Source organism: Homo sapiens, chromosome 9 (genome assembly GCF_000001405.40).
Source record: "Homo sapiens chromosome 9, GRCh38.p14 Primary Assembly".
Taxonomy (NCBI): domain Eukaryota; kingdom Metazoa; phylum Chordata; class Mammalia; order Primates; family Hominidae; genus Homo; species Homo sapiens.
This window is the reverse complement of record NC_000009.12, coordinates 96065103-96086588: the sequence shown is the minus strand read 5'-3', so window position 1 is coordinate 96086588 and position 21486 is coordinate 96065103. Positions and strand designations below refer to the sequence as shown.

Genomic DNA, 21486 nt, shown 5'->3' with positions numbered 1-21486 from the left:
TAATGGGTAACATTTTTGAGTTCTTACTCTGTGTCAGATAGTATCTTTTTTTTTTGAAACAGAGTCTTGCTCTGTCGCCCAGGCTGGAGTGCAGTGGTGCGATCTCAGCTCACTGCAACCTCCACCTCCCGGGTTCAAGCGATTCTTCTGCCTCAGCCTCCCGAGTAGCTGGGACTACAGACGCCCGCCACCAAGCCCGGCTAATTTTTTGTATTTTTAGTAGAGACGGGGTTTCACCGTGTTAGCCAGGATGGTCTCGATCTCCTGACCTTGTGATCTGCCTAACTTTGCACATATTATCTCACTTAATTTCTTCCAATAACCATCTGAAATGGGCACCCTTATAGATCCCACAGGTGACACATGCAGGCAAAGCCTCCGGTTCCAAAGTGTCAGAAGCCTGCCTCTTGGACAATTGCTTGCTGTGCACTCTAGGCTGAATGTATGGGAACAGATGCTAAGTGACAGCTCCTCATGATGAAAAGCCTTGACGCAGAGTCAGAAAAGCCTCCTGTGAGCCCCATGTTACCACGTGTTGGCTAGGTGGCCTTGGCGAGTCGCTTCCTGGCTCTGCTGCCCAGGTCCCCTTCACTGGTTCACTCTGTCTCCCTCCTGCTCAGATGAAAGCCATGGGCCAGTGGTGCACACTGAGCACTTCTAGGGGAGACAAAGATGTGTGCAGTAAGGCTGTCTGCAGCCCTGAAAGCATGCCTCGAGGGAGGACACAGAGCAGGGAGCACAGGACTGCAGCTCTGTGTGACAGCAGAGCATACAAAGGGACGCACCAGTGACCACAAGTGAGCTGCCCGCATCTGGAGGGAGGCTCACGGGAGGGCTCCAGGTCAGGTGCGGGAAGCTGAAGACTCCCCTGACCCCAGGTGGACGCAGCTGGACGTGGAGGGGCAGGTGCGGCTGCATGCCGGTGAGAGTGTGGTCACTCCCAGCACAAGGCCCACGGCCGGAGGCCTTGAATGTGAGGTGAGGACTGTGGCCTGAGCCGCTGTCAGTGATGAGCTGGTGGCAATAGAATGGGACATACAGGAGCCATGCTATCCACCTTCCCATGTGGAATTAAGGTTAACTCCGGTGGCACAGGAGGAGCGGCAGCCATGGAAAGAGGTGGGAGGAATGGAAAGGGCAGGAAAGTGGAGGCAGGTGCCCCTCTGAGTTTGTTTCCAATTGGCCTCATCTAAACCCACCTCTAGGAAACTTTGATATGTGTAATTTGCAATTGGAACTCAAAGCAGACTGAAACATTGCTTTTTGTTGTATTTTGTAACATAAAGAAAAGAAAAAGTGATTGCCTTTAAGCAGATGTACAAGATAGCTCAAGAGTATTTAAAAGTATTTAGAAGAGCCAACTATTTTTGATAGCTTGACCAATATCTTGGGAGAGGGCAAGCCAGTGAAGTGCAGAAGGGTATTTCCTATTTATTTGTTCAAGTTTGACCAGAACACCTTGGCAACGCTCTACGACCCATGAGTACTCACTGCTAGAATGGAAAACCGTGAGAACACGTGGCCACATCTTTTCCTTTTTTTTTTTTTTTGAGACACAGTCTTGCCGTGTCACCCAGGCTGGAGTGCAGTGGCACAATCTCGGCTCACTGCAACCTCCACCTCCTGGGTTCAAGCAATTCTACTGCTTCAGTCTCCCAAGTAGCTGGGACTACAGGCACCCGCCACCACACCCAGCTAATTTTTTTTTTTGTATTTTTAGTACAGATGGGGGTTTCACTCTGTTGGCCAGGCTGGTCTTGAACTCCTGACCTCATGATCCGCCTGCCTCAGCCTCCCAAAGTGCTGGGATTACAGGGGTGAACCACTGCGCCCGGCCGTGACCACATCTTTTAACATATATCGCATAACACAATCATTTCCCTGCGTCTTTGTCTGGGTTCTCTCTACCCCACCCCATTAGCCTATATCAATGCAATTTAAATTACCATTTCCAGCCAATTTCATTTTAGCACAATAAAAGCTAAAGGAACTTAATGGCCAGCAATTGAGGGTTCTGGTGAAATTTTCATCTGGAAAAAGATGTAGAAGATAAAGCTTTTGATCAGCTTTGAGAGCATTCTTGCCTGCAGGCTGACCACAGTGGTCTGGACTTCCTCTGTGTTTATAGGAGTGGTGCTCCTGTCCTGGTCTTCCACCGCAAAGCCACAGTCACATCTGCAATGCCTCCACTTTTAGTGCCTGCAACTGAAGGGCTCAAAATATTCCATTTGTTTCCCGTGGCCCACCCCTAATTTTAGTTTAGTATTTTTTTTTTTTTTACATTCCCATGCCCATAGGGAAACCGTTGGCTATTTTTGGCTAGATAAATGGTTCATCATCTATTGCAGTTGACTTCCTTTTATGATCAATTAGTTTGAGGTTGTCAGTGCTGCTTCAAAGCTGCTATGTATCTTTCACACCCCTCTACCCTGTAATTTATAAGCACTATGGGTTTCAAAAAAAGAAGAAAAAGAAAGAGAGAGAGAAAAAAGAAACCCTACAGTACTTTTATTAGCTGCTGAAATGCATTAGGGTGCATACACTTTGAACTGCACAGGGGAAGATAACCGTGCCTGTAATTGGAATAACTCGCATCCGTCCCCTCTCGGCTCCCTTTAATAACCTCTGCATTGTTTTATCCCCAGGATTTATTGATGACCTGCAATGGCCCTCTCCTGGGCCCCCGCCCACTGGGGTGTTTGTGGGGGAAAGGGCAATGCACGTGGCCCACTCCCTGACCTGCGCCTCTCCATAAATCAGAGCCTGCATTCGCCCGTGATGGGGAGCCAGATGGCAGCTGTTGTTGGAGGAGCTCAACAGGAATCAAGGCCTGTGATCTTTCCTGTTGCTAACAGGCCTGATTTTTTATGGCTGTCAGCATCCTTGGAACGGCCAAGGCAGGCACGAAGGGAGGCTGGGAGGGCAGGGGCCCGATGGCCCTGGATCTGTGCTTTCTTCTCCCAAGGGGGCAAGCCACAAAGGTCTCTCCCTCTTCCTCCCTAGCTGGGGGGCTTGGCCTTATATTCTGTTTCTGAAGAAGTTTCCTAGGGTGTGCGAGTGGTGAAGCTCAATGTAACCAAACACCTTCTAGAAAGGAAAATGGTGGCCAGCTTCCCTTTGCCGATGGTTCATGGACCCTTAGTGTCATGGCCCTATCTGAAAAATGACAGCTGTCCCTTTCCACTGGAGTGATGTCTAAAACAGTCTGGTCCTAAATGCCTTTGATGCTGAAGTAAAAGCCATTTCTTGAAACGACTTGGTGAGTCAGCTGGGCGTGGTGGCTCACGCCTGTAATCCCAGCACTTTGGGAGGCCAAGGCGGGCGGATCACGAGGTCAGGAGATCAAGACCATCCTGGCTAACATGGTGAAACCCTGTCTCTACTAAAGTACAAAAATTAGCTGGGCGTGGTGGCTCATGCCTGTAGTCCCAAGTACTAGGGAGGCTGAGGCAGAGGAATCACTTGAACTCGGGAGGCGGAGATTGCAGTGAGCCGAGACCGCGTCACTGCACACCAGCCTGGGTGACACAGCAAGACTCTGTCTCAAAAAACAAACAAACAAGGAAAACTACTTGGTGGGTCCAATGTTTGGATGTTTTGCTTTTTCAGAGTGTATGGACAGAAACTGCAAGGAAGATGAGAAGGTAGGAGGTAAGGGGAAAGGATGAAAGGCAAAGAGCTTGCCAGACATGGGGAGAAACCCCAACCAGTTTTGAGGTGCCTAACTGGGGGCATTCACTGCAGAGATCAGTTCTTGAGGTGGAGCAGCGCCACGGTGGGTGCATGGGACTGGGCACCAGTGGGCGCAACCAGATAGATAATGGGCAGTCCCTGTGTGGTCCGCAGTTTGCCTCCAACAGGCTCGGCCTCCAGCAACAGAGCCGGCCACAGGGCAGGGCTGTGTAGTCAGCACCGAACAGCCTGCAGAAGCCTAGAGGAGACAGGCATAGAATCCCAGGCGCAGCCCAGAGCTTTTATAGGGCAGAGAGCGAGTCTATTTATTTATGAGGGCTTGAAGCCAGTGTCAGACCCTAGGGATGCTAAACTTACACAGAAAGCAGACATACCCAAGATACCACATCCAGAATATTCCAGGGGACAATCCAGGTTCTTAGAGCCGTTTAGGTGCTGGCTGGAAAAAAGCCATTCAGATGTTTCCCAGGAAAGGTGGATGCACACCTCTCCGCAGTCCAGTCGACTGCAATGGGCAGCAATGGGAGCAGAGGTTGCAGTGATGTGAATGTGGCTGGAAGGGGCTGCGAGCCAAGGAATACAGCAATCTCTAGAGCTGGGAAACAAGGATGTGGGTTCTCCCCTGGAGCCCCCAGGATGCATGCAGTCCTGCAGGCACCTTGATGCTAGCCCACCACAGCCCATTTTGGACTCCTAACATTCAGAACTATAAGAAATAACTTTGTGTTGCGTTAAGCCTCTAAGTTTTTGGTACCTGTTATAGCAGTCGGCCTCTGTATCTGCAGGCTCTGCCTCCACTCATTCAACCAACCATGGGTAGGAAATATATAAAAGAAAACAATAAAAAAATAACAATACAACAATAAAAATAATAGAAATTAAAAAGAATACAGTACAACAACTATTTACATAGCGTTTACATTGTCTTCGGTATTGTAATTCATCTGGAGATGATTTAAAGCATTGGCAGGATGTGTGTGGGTTATATGCAAACACGACCCCAGTTTACATCAGCAACCTGCACATCCTTGGAGGTCCTGGTGCCGATCTCCCACAGATTCCGAGGGACGATTGTACACTCATCTTCATGCGATGGCTTTTCCCCGTGTTAATTTCACTTTTTAAAAAAACATTTTCCCCCTCATACAAACTCTCAGTCTCCCTGTGACTGAACATCGCCAATGATGTTCTGAATGACTCAGGTGAAAAGTGAAGGATTGAGGTGGAATTTGTTGTTTGAGAACAGATCTAACAGCCGGAACAAATAACTCTTGCATAGGAAGCCAAGTTGGGAGCCAGAGAGGAAGGATAAGGGGGCAGGGACTCAAAGTAGGCGGTCCACTTTCCCTTTGGGGGTAATTTCACTGGCACGGGATGCTTTGTACAGGGCCCTCTGGCCATCTTGGTCTTATAGGTCTGGACCAGTGTTTGAGAGAGAAGTGACTAAATTTTTTTTTTCTAACTGATAAATCCAATTTAAGGAAGCAAATAAGCACAAACAAGTACAGGCATACAAAAGCTCCACACATGATTTGATCCCTGCTGATTTCATTTCACACCTGAAGTATTGAGCTTGGCTTTCTACACAAGCTGTTGCACAGGTACGCAGTATCTGACAGTGGGTTAAACATGGGTGGGGTCTGAGAACTGGGGTGAATCAATGGCCTCTCTTCTTATTAGCTAGGTGACCTTGAGTAGTTCATGACTCTCACCAGCTCCATTTCCACGATGTGGTCCCACCTCATAGCATTGCTGAAAACATTAAATGACACTGATGCCCGCTGTGCCCTTATCACAGTGCTGGGCACATAGGCACACAGGCATGCTCCACGAATGTGAGTTTGTTATGTTAATAATTAATATTTGGCAGAACTAAATGCATGGCTTAATTATTCTTTTAACTCAGGTCATAATCTAACCCACAGATGATGAAGGTGGTAATGATAAAAACAGCCAGCATTTATTAATCACCTGCCATGTGCCTGCCAGACACTCTTTCAAGCCCTTTACATATGGAGTAATGAAAGTCCAGGGTGTTTCGGTAGCTTTCCGGATCACCTTGCTAGGCAGTGGCAGCACTTGGATTCGAACCCACGTGGTCTGAGCCCAGAGCCTGACTGGCCTTTTGGTCATGCTACCATTCCAGGGAGACCTGTCCCGTGGCCTGACTAGGCACAGAAGGGCCAGCAGATCCACTTCTGCTCCTGATTTCCTTACGATCAGTGAGGCGCCCTGGACATTCTCCTTAAGATTAAATGACACTGACTAATATCTTGGAGATGCCAGCCAAGAAAAGTCTTGGCTTTCGATGGAATCTGGGAGGAGAGGTGGAGGAGGCAAGTTGATTCTTTAGCCGGGTGAGTTGAGGTAAGTCTTCTGGGCATTTCTCCAGCATCGTGGTTGGGGCAATCCCTGCGACTTCTAGTGATTGCTTAGAATGATTCACCTTGGCACTGTCTTCCGGACACAGGGTGAGTACCAGGGTGCTCACCTTTACTGAGTATGTCATTGCCATGATTAGAACAGGAACTACCGTACTTTCTGGGATGTCGGAAAATGCAGATACAGAGCTCAGAGCAAGCCACCTTAAGGAAGAGGGTGACAATTTCGGGAGCTGATATTTGAAAAAGTACAGGACAAGTAGGAGTTAGGGAAAATAGGTAATACCGAATATCCTAGACATCAGAGAACGAAGTTATCACAAATGCCCAGGAAAGACTAAATCCTGGAAGAGGTTAAAAATCCGCTTCCAAAAATCCGCCTAGAAAGAGAAGTGAACACCGTGATTAAAATTCCAGATCTGTGATGAGACCTGAAGCGGGAAGACTCAAGGATGAAGTGGGTAGCTAGGCTCAGTGACCTCACATATCCTTCCCAACTCAGGTTCTCTGATTCCCTCAGCAATTCACATCACGTAAGCTGTAGGGATTTCCCTTGCTCCATATAGCAGCTGCTCCATTTTACCCGAAGGAAAAATATTTCAGAATAGTTTCTAAACAAACTGCATCCTGCCTCCCCTCCAGTCCTATTGTTTGAGGAATTCTTTCATTTCTCTTCTTCAACCACTCCTCTCTGCCTCCTTTTCTCTTTTCTCCCTTCATTTTCCTACTCCCTCCTTCCTCCTCTCCTTCTTCTTCTTCCTCTTCCTCCCTCTTCCTGCTTTCCTTCTACATTCTCTGCTTAAACTTCTGACTACTAGAATAATTTCCAATAGGATACAAAGAAAATGACCTGGCTTCGAAGATTTCCATTCTATCTGATACCACCTTCACACTGCACAGTTGGCAGTGCCCAGGGAACTGAAGTAAAGATATGGGTCTTCTGCTGAATGAAAGGCTAAATTAAAAAAAAATTTTTTTTGGCTGTCATACTTTCAGTTTAAATCTCGCAGTTGTATTTTCATAAAATAAAAAATTAAAGTGAATTGCTTATGCATTGCAGGGTGATTAGGCTGTCCTTGAGGTTTGAGAAAAACAAAGTATAATTTAGTTCAAGCTCATGTTCTGATTCCATAGTGGGAAGGCTGCAAATTTCCATTGCACAATAATAACATTTCAGCCATGGCTTCTGAACCTGGGGGCGCTGTTGCTATAAATATTATTTCCATTGGATTATGTTGTGTTGAGGCCTGGATTATGTTAATATTTTAAAAGTCTTATCTCAGCTCTTACATGTTTTAAATACCTGGAAGAGTGTAATGGGGAAGCCAAGGTTCTGTAGACTAAATGAACTGCTTAAAACGAGCTGTGCTTTCTCCCTGGTTGGTTACAGTGCAGATTGGGAGAGTTAGCAACTCTTGTCTCAGAAGCAATCACACAGAGCCAGCAGGAGCCTGCAGGAATGGGAGAAAACCTAAGCAGACAATGGAAACTCGGGAGGAGCAGAACTCACAGAGGCCAAGGACAGAGCGAAATAAATCAGTGGCAGAAGAAATAGGGCAAAGTTGATTTTCTACCCTCTTAATCCCTTCTTACATAGCCCAAATATCCTATTCAGTACTTCATTCATTCATTCATGCCACCCCCATCCTATTATCAGGAGAGATTTAGAGACAATGGAACCTCAAAAACAAAAGCAACAGCGTGAATGAAATGAACGTGGGGAACACGCAGAATGCAACCGAAGGCACGAAGCCAATAGGAAGTTGGACGGTGGGATGTTGGTGGAGGGGTTTTTTTCAGTTTGACACAATCAAATTTCCTATTTCGTGAACTTTGGTTCTTGTTGGCCTAAATGCATTTTTGATGCTTGCTAAAAAAAAGTAGGATAAATCCAACCACTTTGTTTATTTTCGTATTCATTTCAACGGAAATAATGGTGGGATTAGGGAATGCAAAGAGAGGGAGCTCTGTAGGTGTGACGATGAAGAGAGTTAACAGAGAATGGAAATCCGATGGGAAATGCAACAGAAGATGGATCCAGGGAAGCGGAAAAGGAGAAGAGGAAGCACCAGAGACAGCCATGGGGTGCCATGTCGGGGAGGACCCCTGGCCTGGGCTTCCCCAGCAGCCCAGGTGATGGGCAGCAGAAGGTTCCAGACTCCACTAGAGGCTCTGTTTAGCTTCTGTCACCTCAAGAGTCTTATCAGTTTCTACCTAGGTTTCCAACACAGTAGATGTTCCATAAATGCTTGTTACACTCAACCAAACTAAACCACTCAGGTCTAAAAGCAGTGAGTAGAAGAACTGCAAGGAAAAAAACCATACATTGTGTGAAATAGATAATAAAAAATAATAGTAAGAGACAAATCATAAAGGACAAAAAGAAGGGCGCCTTTCAGATGGTGTATGGGTCTTTCCTTCTAGAGTGGAGAAACTGCCTCCATCGCGGGCTTCCATGGCACCGTGCCCTATCTTCTCCACAGTTCATAGAAACCTGGATTGTAAGTAACCACTGGGTCATCTTCTTTCCGACTGGACTTGAAACTTTGAGCAGATGGCGAGCGTGTCTGTTTTGTTCACTGTTGCACAGTGAGTCTAGCACGATGCCTGGCTGAAAATAGTTGCTCCATATATGTTATGTTGAATGAATGAGAAAACGAGGCAAACTTAGAAGGGGCTCATGAAGAAATAGGGGCAATTTAAAAAAATTACTAAGGGCAAAAAAAGATGTTGAGACATTTTGAATGAAGGAATTTAACTTGAAATTTTTTTTTAAAAGCTCTGCAGTGAAAAAAGGAAAGAATGTTATCAATAATAACAAAAAATAATAAAGATGTGTGTATAATCTCCTGGCATTTTCGTTTCTTTATCTGTAAAATGGACTTAATAATATCAACCTAAGAGGATTTTTTGGTGAGGATTAAATGAGACTATGTGTAAAATGTTCAGCATTTGTTGGCCTTTACAATTAATTAATATTGTTAAGTTGGAAGTGATAGAAGCCAGTTTGAACTTATGGGGAAAAAAAAAAAAAAAAGCAGGGGGTTGCTTTACCTACAGTGTAGACAAGCCAAGAGGAGGGCAGGGTGGGTGTGGGAGCTGGGAAGGCCTACTGGTCCCCTGGGTGTGTTGTCTTCGTCCTCGCCATCCACAAACCTGCCACCATGGCCCCAGCCACTCCAGACCCCTGTCTCAACAGCTTCACAGGTAGAGAGGAATGGACGTCTCTTCATTCAGCAGACCCCGAGGTCTTTGAGGAGCCCCATCTGAAATGTGTGCTCACCTCTCTGCCCCTCGCTGTGGCCAGAGACGGGATGTACCATGACTACCTTTGGCTGGGTCACATGCCAACCTTTCAAATAGAGACAGAGGTGCAGGGACCAGCCCCACAGGGTCGGTGGCTCTCTCCCCCTGTGCGGCGACGAGAGAGTGTAGAAATAAAGACACAAGACAGAGATAAAAGAAAAGACAGCTGGGCCCGGGGGACCGCTACCACCAATGCATGGAGACCGGTAGTGGCCCCGAATGTCTGGCTGCGCTGTTATTTATTGGATACAAAGCAAAAGGGGCAGGGTAGAGTGTGAGTCATCTCCAATGATAGGTAAGGTCACGTGGGTCACGTGTCCACTGGACAGGGGGCCCTTCCCTGCCTGGCAGCCGAGGCAGAGAGAGAGAGGAGACAAAGAGAAAGACAGCTTACGCCATTATTTCTGCATATCAGAGACTTTTAGTACTTTCACTAATTTACTACTGCTATCTAGAAGGCAGAGCCAGGTGTACAGGATGGAACATGAAGGCGGACTAGGAGCGTGACCACTGAAGCACAGCATCACAGGGAGACGGTTAGGCCTCGGGATAACTGCGGGCAAGCCTGACTAATGTCAGGCCCTCCACAAAAGGTGGAGGAGCAGAGTCTTCTCTAAACTCCCCCGGGGAAAGGGAGACTCCCTTTCCCGGTCTGCTAAGTAGCGGGTGTTGTTCCTTGACACTTTTTGCTACCGCTAGACCACGGTCCGCCTGGCAACGGCATCTTCCCAGATGCTGGTGTCACCGCTAGACCAAGGAGCCCTTCTGGTGGCCCTGTCTGGGCATAACAGAAGGCTCGCACTCTTGTCTTCTGGTCACTTCTCACTGTGTCCCCTCAGCTCCTATCTCTGTATGGCCTGGTTTTTCCTAGGTTATGATTATAGAGTGAGGATTATTATAATATTGGAATAAAGAGTAATTGCTACAAACTAATGATTAATGATATTCATATATAATCATGTCTATGCTCGAGATCTAGTATAACTCTTGTTGTTTTATATATTTTATTATACTGGAACAGCTCGTGCCCTCGGTCTCTTGCCTTGGCACCTGGGTGGCTTGCCGCCCACACAGAGGGTTAAGGAAATCCTGGTAGACCAGGCAGTTGCCCCAGTTTGTGTCTAGGATCTTCAATCCATGGAAGCTATGAATGGTGTTAGCTAGAGTAAAATGCAGTGGAAAAGGCAACGGGAAGGAAACGTGCAGCTTTTCCTCACAATTTTCCACTGTGTACATAGTTGAGTAAGCAGGTGCCCGCCACTGGCTTTGCGTCTTGACTGCTGCTCTGATAGCTTAAAGAACTAAGAAGCCAAATGTGAATGTGGTGAAATTCAATGTCCAGTCCTGCCTGGTCTCAGAGTAGCTGCCCCTGGAAGCTGCCTTTCCTTTTCCCTCCTCCTCTTGTTTAAATAATTAAACATCAAGTTTCACAGAAGCAGCTGGGGGCATTGGCTCACACCTGTAATCCCAGCACTTTGGGAGGCCGAGGTGGGTGGATCACCTGAGGTCAGGAGTTCGAGGCCAGCCTGGCCAACACAGCGAAACCCCATCTCTACTAAAAATACAAAAATTAGCTGGGTGCAGTGACACGCGCCTATAATCCCAGCTACTCAGGAGGCTGAGACAGGAGAATAGCTTGAACCTGGGAGGCAGAGGTTGCAGTGAGCTGAGATCGTGTCATTGTACTCCAGCCTGGCGACAGAGCGACTCCCTCTCAGAAACAAACAAACAAACAAACAAACACAAACAACAGTTCCACAGAAGCAGGCATCACAGCTTCTATTTCCCCTTGCATACTTCACATTAGACAGAGTGCCATGTTCCCGTGTTTATTGAGTGCTTTTTAAAAACAAATGGATAAACAGATGAGTAATATCATCCAACATCAACCAGCTTGCAAAATGAAACCACCGTGTCAAACTGGTTTCTGTGAAAGGAACTCGCTGAAAATAATGGAAAGTTTTGCCTCAGAAAATACGTCTCCTGACCTAGTTTAAAGTCCTTATTTGGATGCTGAGGATGTACAGATCTACCAGTGTGGCAGCCTCCTGAAGACACAGGAGATTTGGTCTCCGAGAAGGTTCCAATTAAATGGCTTCTTTATTGCTTTAAAGTAAGCTATTTTAATATTTCTCAGTGAAAGATTAATTTATCCCCTTGTATGTCAACCCTGAGCACTTTTTGCTATTCCTAAGCAAAATCTAGTCTGAAAAGGCAGCATAGAGATCCAAAGAACGCACTGACAAAGGAGCTCACCACCAAGACCGCAGTAACACAGTCCCTTGAACAGCTCCACTCGAGGCCACCCTGGTGGAGTGAGTGGATTCATGCGGTCCTGAAACGGCTCCTAAATAAAGTGAGCTTTGAATCATATTTTACAGAAAATTGGGGCTGGGCGTGGTGGCTCACACCTGTAATCCCAACACTTTGGGAAGCCAAGGTGGGTGGCTCACGAGGTCAAGAGATCGAGACCATCCTGGCCAACATGGTGAAACCCCATCTCTACTAAAAGATCAAGATCAGCCTGGTCAACATTGTGAAACCCGTCTCTACTAAAAATACAAAAAAATTAGCCAGGCCCGTGGTGGTGGGTGCCTGTAATCCCAGCTACTCTGGAGGCTGAGGCAGAAAAATCACTTGAACCTGGGAGGTGGAGGTTGCAGTGAGCTGAGATCGTGCCACTGCACTCCAACCCGGGCAACAGTGCAAGACTCCATCTCAAAAAAAAAAAAAATAATAATAATAATAATAATGATAAGTTAGAGCCATGCATTGAAGTCAAGAATAGGGCAGGAAACTGGAAAAAGAAATTGTCTAGTCATAAGCATGACTTTTAAAGCAAGACAGCTCTCTTTTTATCTGCCTTTAGGACAATATATTCCTCTGAGATTAATGAGGGGAAGGGAGGGGAAGTGTGAGATCGGACAGGGAATGGCTGGGAAGTTGCTCCAGTGAGCTGCCTCTTCCCTTTGGGCTATGTCCAGAAGCAGGATTGGCGTGAGAGGTGGGCACCGAGAGAGGGGCTTGGGAAGCCAGGGCCAGAGGAGCCGAGGTGTGAACACTTGGAGGATGCAGACAAGCTGCGGAAACTTGAGATCTCTCAGGGTGGCAAAGACAATCCCAGGGGTGGCTGGGAAGAGATAGGAGGATAACTGGAAGAGGCCACAAAACATGTGTGAGGCACTTTGAAAGCAGCATCCAAGGGTCAATCTGGATTTACCAAGGTGATTAGAGTGAAAAAGAAGTGAGAGGGGAGGGAGGGAGAAAAACAGTAGGAGATAGAGGGAAGGAGAGAGGAGGGAGGGTACTGCTTGGTCAGGACAGTCTAGGTAATGCTTTAGTAACAGATAAATCCTGCACATCTGTGGTTAAACAGCCAAGGTTTGCTTTTTGCTCCCTTGCACGTCAGCCTCCCAGTTACTCAGAGGCCCAGCTGAGGGCATGCCAACTTGAGATATGTTATCACCATTGAAAAAGCAGGACAAGAACTGGCAGTTCTGGTTTTCAAAGCACGCACTGGTCCTCAAAGCTTCCTCCAGGAAATGGTGCACGTCTTTCCCACTCACATTTCACTGCAAGAACAAATCACATGTGCGATGATTTCAAAGGCGTGGAGAAGGTCAAGCCTATCAAGTTCTGGAAGATATGGGAAAAGAAACTTTGTCAACAGCACCACGGCTGACACAGGGAAGAATGGCGAATGCATAGCCGCAGAGGAGCTGCTGTGGCGACCTGGTGCTTGTAGAGAGCTCGCCCTAAAAAGGATGCTCTGCCCTCATGACCCTGGGACAGTTTCTAGCCCTCTCGTCTCAATAAGATATATTTCAAATTCTCAAGCTTAACACTCTACAGTTTTCAACGTAAAATTAATCTTCATTGCACAAATGTTAAAATCTGCCTAAAGAAGCTGTCCTCGGTGAAGGAGGCCTGTATTGTGTTCTGGGGCGAGTCATCTGTGCTGAATGAAGGGCTGTGTGACAACAGAATATTCTTCAGGAGGTAGAGGCGTCAGATTGAGAGGCTGCCACAGTTTAGTGAAGACTTGCCACGGGGACCCCTAAAGAGAGGCACCGTTGCTTTGCGTTCTGTGGGGGCAGTCCCACAGTCAGGGCGCGGCAGAGCTGTGGGGGCCAGCAGCCCCCAGCATGGGCAGAGAGAGTGCCCAGGGAGTGGGCTGGGGGCTGATCAGATGTCTGCCTCTCTCAGGCTCTCTGTTTTGGTGGTAAGGCAATTGGGACAGTGATCTGTCCCCTGTCTGATAATCTGCACCAAAATTTAGGAAGTAACACGTCCTTCAGGGATTAAAATATAAGATTGAAACACAGTGGTGTGGAGCAGTCATATGCAATGCGTGCTTGAAGGAGACGGGTGACCCTCAAGCCACCAAGGCCTGTATGTCCCTTAGTCATCTATCAAAAGCTTACTGGGCACCTCCTATGGACCAAGGATGTTGTGGACACTTGAGGTGTAGTGATGGGCAAGATAGACATGCTGGATGCTCTGATGTGCCCCCCAGGTCACCCTGAAGGAAGGACACTGCTGAGGACGTTGCTAGCAGGGAGTCCTCAGCTGTCAGCCTTTTTGCGGACTGCCTGAGCCACAGGGAGCTGCTTCCCTCAAGATCACAGCGCATTTAGAGAGCAGCCCAGCACCAGTGAAGGACCAATGAGGAGCACAAAGCCCAGCGGTGTGTGTGCTGACCTGGGACAAGGCCGCAGGGATAGCCCACCCTCAGAACTCCCTGCAGGGATAGCCCACCCTCAGAACTCCCTGCAGGGATAGCCCACCTTCAGAACTCTCTGCAGGGCTGGCTGATGTTTCTGGTGAGCTGGCTGTGATGTGCTTTCCCTCCTGCCCAGTCCTATTCCCTTCCCTTCTCTTCCCTTCCCAAGATGGGGTTCCTGAGAGTACACCCTGGTAAATCTCCATCCTTGTCTCCGACAGTCTGCTTCCTTGGGAGTCCAACCTGTCCCAGACACAGCCTGTCCTCATGGAGCCTACACACTAACGAGGAAGGCAAGTATCAAACAAGTAAAGAAACAAGCAAATGTCAGATGGCCATAAGTGTTATCAGGAAAATAAAACGGTGTAACAGGATGGTTACAGAAAAGGCAACACTGGGTGGAGCCGTCTGGGAGGGTTTGGTGGAGACATGATATTGAGCAGAAACCCGATTAATGGAAATCTAGAGGACAACATTCCAGAGAGAAGAACAAACATAAGGGCCCCAAGACTGAAAGAGGTCTGATACATGTGAGAAAGGAAGAGAAGTGCCTTATGACTAGGGTGATGTGCACAAGGGGAGGTCACCATGGGCTTAGTGAGGTCGGTGGGGGCAGGCCATTTTGGATTTTATTTAAGGGCAATGGGAGAAAGGGGGATCCCAGTCCATACAGGGGCTTTCTGTGATTTAGAAAAAGGAATCCCTCTCTTAAGTAAAAAAAATAATCACATGAATGACTAGTTCAGTGCATGACTTGAACAACCATTCACAGTGTCCCTGCAGGGGATAGTGGGAACTGCAAAAGGCTGAGCACTCAGCAGAGAATGTAAGCAGGAGAGGGGAGGGGAGTGAGGAGATAGAAGAGTGTCAGCTCTGGGGTTCAATCAGCAGTGTCCAGCCTAGTTTGCCGAAACAATCATTCCATAATCCAAACTGCTGTTTAAATCGATGGCCAGACACATGCATCCTATTAGGAATTAGGCAAAGCTGCTGCTGGGAGGAGGCACTCCTTGACTCAGCCTGGCTTTCTCAGCCTGGTCACTGGTCACCCCTCAGCATGGGGTGCACATGCATCAACAGTGTGCCTCTGCCTCCCACAGACCCTCCAACCTGTACATGCCCCAAGTTGTCTAGCACAGCTGAGAGGCCTGTGTTTCTTTGGATGGTTAGCTCCATATCTCTAAATAATAAGCTCCATGTCTTATATTAGATAGAAATTATGTTCAGCTGCCAGCACAGAGAGCCAGCAAAAGTTGCTTAAACAAGATAAAGATTTGTTTCTCTCTCACATAAGAGAATCCATACGTGAGGAGCAGAAAGATGGAAGGAAATTGGACCCAAATGATTATGGATCCGCCGTAGCAACCCTGAAGTCCCCACATCTGGCAAGAAAGAGGCAGGAGAAAGGAAAAGGGGGATATCTCAAGTGTTTTTTGACCTTTTAGGGAGCATGTTCATAAGTCCTACCAACAACTTTGGTGCAGACTTTGTTGGCCCTAACTTAGTTACCTATGTCCTTGCCACCTCTGTCCTGATACAGATATATCACTATTGTCGTTAAATTAAGAATCAAAATTTCTATATATATATGTATTTTTGAGATGGAGTCCCACTCTGTCATGATCTCAGCTCACCGCAACCTCCACCTCCTGGGTTCAAGTGATTCTCCTGCCTCAGCCTCCCAAGTAGCTGGGATTACAGGCACCTGCCACTGCATGCAGCTAATTTTTTGTATTTTTAGTAGAGATACGGTTTCACCATGTTGGCCAGGTTGGTCTTGAACTCCTGACCTCGTGATTTGCCTGCCTTGGCCTCCCAAAGCTGGGATTACAGGCATGAGCCACCGTGCCTGGCCCTCAAAATTTCTATTTTTATGACTATGTGGGTATTGTTTACGCTAGCTCCATGAAATAAATCATTTCTTTTCTTATAAAGTTTGTTTTTCCTAGAGTTGTGAATAGGCTTTGTTTTTGTACTATCTGCCATCATCACAGCTTCAGCCTCTCTGCCCTCCTGTCTCTGCAGTCTCCATCATATCAGGTATTCTCCCTTTCTTCCTCACAAAGGCCTCCTCGCCTATGGCTGATATCAGGGTCCGCAGCACAGCTGTTATTCCTGGACTTGCTGTTACCACTCTCATGGGTTGTAGGCACTATTTCCTGGGTTCCATGTCTTTTTCCTTCATTTACTGGAATTTCTTTTTGCTGGAACTTTCCTGCTTGATTACTCCTAGAACAACAACCCAAGAGGTGCTGGTCCAGGCTCCAGACATACAGAGAAGAATGAAGCATAATCCCTGCCCTGAAGGGTTTCACAGCCTGTTGATCAGGAAGACATGTGGAAAGATACATAATAACACGTAAGTGCGCTTACATGCTCTGTGAGCAGGACAAGGACATCTATTCGTGGGATCAGGCAAGGCTTCAGAGTAGAGGTGACACCAGGTTTTGAAAGAAGACTGAGTATTTGTTCAGTGGAGAAGTAGAGGAAGGCAATTCCAGGGAGAGGTCACCACATGGGCAAATGCACCAAGGCATGGCAGACAGAGCCAGCTAGCAGAATGGTGAGTTCAGTGATGTGGAAGCATAGAATACGTCGCGTAGGTCAGGGCTCAAGCATACAGAACCGAGCATGCTTCCTAAGTTGCACACAACCCATTTGTAAACTGCTGAGCATGTCTTATTTGCAAGTTGTGGATGACATAAGCAGATCTGTAGAGGCGGACAGGGCATTTAAAAACCCATACATTTCTGCCCAGAAAATCAGGTCTCTTCAATTCTGATTGCCAGCCTTTCAGTCCCAATTCAGACAGGAAGCTGAAGGGTTTCCATCAGACCTACACAGCACTCAACAAGAAATCGCTTGAGTTTTCTCAAGAGATAAAGACTTTTTATTACAATGTAACGAAGTATAATTGGCTTAGTTAACCTAGTATGCAAAATCTTGGGTGTTCTCGTAGTGCTGTGAAATGTTATGATTCAAAAGAATTTCGGCTCTCTCTAGCACTGCAAACCTCCCCTGCCTTAAAGTGCTAAAATGTTTCTTACTTAGACTCACACTTTGCTTTTCCTTCAAAACACAGAGCTTGCCCAAGTCATGGAGGGTAAAGACTTCCCTACCCCTTTCCCACCTTTTTGGATTATTGGTTTTTTTCTATATTCGTCACATTTCTAAGTGCTTCAAAGGGGACTGGGGCAGACATAACCTCACCTCATAGACTCCTTCTGGCTCCACATCACAAGTCTCCTGGGTATTTTTACATTATTATTGGTTGAAACATATTTAAAATATCTTTCCTCCATAAATGTGTGTGTGTGTACAGCTTCCCTGTCTCCCTGAAATGCCCATTTATAGGTAGGAAGTAGCCAGTTGGACAACTCTTTTATGGAGAGGCTCATACCTCAGAAAAACTACTGTCACACCCCTTCATATCAGAACCCAGTAAAAGGTTCTTTATTCTCACTGTCTTTTCAAATTGTTTTTGCCATTATAGATCAAGGTGTTTCAGTGATTTTGTCAGGATAGCTCTTTAGAAAAAAAGGAATCAGGGAGGAAACAGCCAGTTAAATGGGTTGAAGGAACCGTGGGAAGGTGTGTATGTGAGTGGGGAGGGGAGAGGGGGCTTAACACTAATAATATTTTGAAATGTACCTCTAAACTTGAAACCTAGTTGATAAATGTTGTTATGGAAATTCAAAAGTATTGGGTTTCATTTATTTGTTTCTAGCAAATATCGCAGGAGCACTGGTCAGATGCTGGGTGGTTGCCAGACAAGCGAGCCAGAGGAACACGAAGGCCCTGCCATCGAGGAGCGTGCCAGATCTCAGGGCCCCTAGACCAGGAGTCCTTCAGGGGGGCCTGCCACACTCCTCATGTTTCAAAATGAATTTCCATGCTTAACATTACACCGTCTGTCAAGTTCAAAGAGGCTTCGTGTTTTGTTTGAAACCGGGTCTCGTTGTGTCGCCCAGGTTGGAGTGCAGTGGCACGACCTCAGCTCATTGCAGCCTTGACCTCCTGGGCTCAAGGGATCCTCCCACCTCAGCCCCCCAAGTAGCTGGGACTACAGGTATGTCCCACCACACCTGGCTAATTTTTGTATTTTTTGTAGAGATGGGGTTTTGCCATGTTGCCCAGGCAGATTGGTCTTGCACTCCTGAGCTCAAGCAATCCTCCTGCCTCAGCCTCCCAAAGTGTTGTGATTACAGGTGTGAGCCACTGTGCCTGGCTGCAGAAGATTTTTTTTGATTAAGCCCATCTCACTATGATTTTTCTTTCTATAAAACCCCCAGCATTCCCACTAAAGACCCTTGTTGCTTCTGGAAAGGAGTATTAAAGTATCAGTCTTCCTTTCCAAAATTCGAACCCAAGCCCATGTCCTTCTGGAATCATTTCTAGATGTGTGTGTGTACAGATATACATATATATATATATATATATATATGTATATAAGTATTTACATATTGTGTGTATATATTGAAATTTATATATTTACTCACATTCATGCATGTATACATATATATTGTACACACATATGTGTATCTATGTATATGTATTTAAATTTGTTTGTGCCTCATTTTTTCTTCGTACTAGAAAAATGCAATATTGACAAAATCAAACATAAATTGGTTTGTGGTTCTAGATGTCACAGCAGTGATTGCAGGCATTTCGTAATGGTCACTGGGTCATCTCTCTAAGCCTGCCACCGTTTGGAAGTGAGTAATATTATACAGTTCCAGTTACAAAGCCACCGCACTTGACTAAATCCTCATGTGGCAGAGAGAAGCCCTCTGCCAGGGGGAGAAGCCCAGTCCCGTGATCAAATCCCTACTGGGCTGATCAGCTATTGGCAAGTTCCTGGGCATGCTGGCTGGGGTGCTGGGGGTGTCCTCCAGGACAAGTTCTCAACTTCAGCGGCACATCGGAGTCACGGAGAGCTTCCAAAAACCCTCCTGTTGGGGTCCTTCCTTTATGGAGTCCCCTCTGATGGGCATGGGTGGAGCCTGGCTCAGGGATTTTGAAATGTGACGCCTATGTTGAGCCCAAATCGGGAACCCTGGCAGCAGGGGTCATTGGTATTTGAGGACACAAAGTAAGAAGGCAGCCTGTCTTTTCTTTTCCCAGAGGTGGAAGGTGGTGGGAAGGAGCAGGAGGGGCATGTGCGGTGCCCCTGGAGGCCACCTGCCTGGGCTTGCTTGGGGCCAGCAGCCTTGGAGGCTGTGTGGAGGCCGCTGCCGCACATCTGGCCCTCAGCACTGCACAGACTGTGGAAACCCTGTAAGATAAGCTCCCAGGAATGAAAAGAAGGCGGTCTAAACTTTCTGGGTCCCAGAGCCAAAGCAGGAGGTCCCAAAACCGCAGGGTGGGGGCGGGATCATTTGCGGACACCAAAAGCCAAAGGCCAAGAGGACTCTGTTTTAGCAGATTAATTTATAAGAAAAATATCAGAAGCAAAGGCACACATGGGAATATTGTTATTGGAAAGAACATTTTGCAAAGGAATTTTTATAAATGGAAACTGCTTCAAGTTCAAGCCATATTTAAAAACACAACCACATGGGTGGCAGGAAGGAGGGCACCGGCTGTGTTCAAATATTTTCCTAAAGGGACACCCAGCCCCCCTCAGCTGTCCCCAAAGGGGGCATGGGGGTCTGTGGGTCCTGCTTACTTTGGGAGCCCTGGACTTGGCCCTCGGAGGCCTTGGTGGCCCGGTGAGGATAGTAAAACATGGGAGGTGTTCTGGGAGCGCCTTCTCCAGAGATAAAGGCTGTTCTTCACCAAGATGATTCCAGGAAAGTTCATTTTGGAAATGGAGAAGAGAAATGGAGACAAAGTATGTACGAGTCGCACCTGAGTGCAGAGTTAGGTCTATGGCATTTGCCCAAAGAATCACTCAGGAAATCTTCCTTCCCTTCCTTTGACCCACAGCAGAATAAAGGAGATTAATTTTGGGTGGACGGTTGGTGGCAGAAGTTGAGGGAATTTTGGAAAATTGAAGAAAATAACTATTTGAATAGACCAGAAGTGAAGGTTTCCTGTGGTGTGCAGCCCAAAATCTAGTTCAGGCCATCTCCTGTGACATTTTTTTAAATTGCTGTGTTTGACACAACCTTAGGCCTGAGAAAACTTTACTTTCCTAGAAAAGCACATTTACATGTGAAACCCGGCATATGCCCCAGCACTCAATTGCAGGGAGTCGGCCCCCATTCCTCATGGCATCTGCAGAGCAGTGGCTGGCATGGGGCAGTCCCCCCAAGTGCATCCGTGCATAAAAGAGGTCCGGGAACACCTCCCCTGTGAAAGCCCGGGGAGCAGTTCTGAGGTAGACAAAAGACCCTTAATATACATTTTCCCCCAAATTAATCATTTCGGTTCCAGGAAACAAGAAAAGACTTTTCTGGACTTCTATATATTGCATCATAGCATATCAATGTAATCAGTAGAATCAACTCTGTTCCTCTTATTACTAACAATTAACACATTGTGAGCACACGCTATGGACTCAAGCATTCTTTGAGAAGACTTCATTCGCATATTATTTTAAGTCTGTTTTCTATTGCTTGTAGTAGAATACCTGAAACTGGGTAATTTATAAAGAAAAGGAATTTACTTCTTACATTTCTGGAGGCTGGGAAGTCCAAGTCTAGGGGGTGCATCTGGTGAGGGCCCTCTTGCTGGCAGGGACTCTGCAGGGCCCCAGGGTGGTGCAAGGCATCCCATGATGAGGGGGCTGAGAGCACCAGCTCAGGTCTCTCTTCCTCTTCTTATAAAGCCACCCATTCCACTCCCTAATAACCCATCAGTCCATTAACCCAGTAATCCATTCATCATTCATCCACGAATGAATTAACCCATTCATGAGGGCAGAGCGCTTGTGACCCAATCACCTCTCAATGCTACCACACTGGGGATTCAATTAAAAAGGAGTTTTGGAGGGGACACATATCAAAACTGTAACACATATATGAACTATGAATGCATTGTTATCCTCCAAACTGTATAAGAACTCTTATGCCCATTTCAGAGATGAGGAAATGGAGGCACAGAGGATTTAGTAATGACACTCAGCTAACGAGTGGTGAAATGGAGACCCCAGCACAGGCAGCCTGCCCCTGGGCTTTGTCCCTCTAGCCACTCCCGCCTGTCCACTCTGAGGTTGTTGAGTGGATGCCCATGGATTTGCCTGCTCACACCTTCCCTCGAGATGCCCTGCCACGCTCCACCAACATGGCTCCATGGCAGCTTTGATAGTATCGCCTGGCCCTGCCCCTGCCCATAGTTCACTGCTCTACAGACAAGCCCTGAACTCATTGTTAGTGAATTCTTTCCCCAATATATTTGAATTTGAAACTACACAGGAGACAGGGTCTATTTCTCGCCAAT

At 46.9% G+C, this 21486-nt stretch overlaps 1 long non-coding RNA gene across 1 annotated transcript in view; it reads right to left on the bottom strand.

Annotated features, from left to right (window-relative positions):
- LOC158435 (uncharacterized) overlaps window positions 1-20750 on the bottom strand; it is a 36074-nt gene extending 15324 nt beyond the window's left edge. Inside the window, exon 1 of the long non-coding RNA NR_033838.1 lies at window positions 20721-20750. This is a non-coding gene — a long non-coding RNA (uncharacterized LOC158435). The remainder of the gene's footprint in view (window positions 1-20720) is intronic.
- Window positions 20751-21486: the final 736 nt, after the last annotated feature.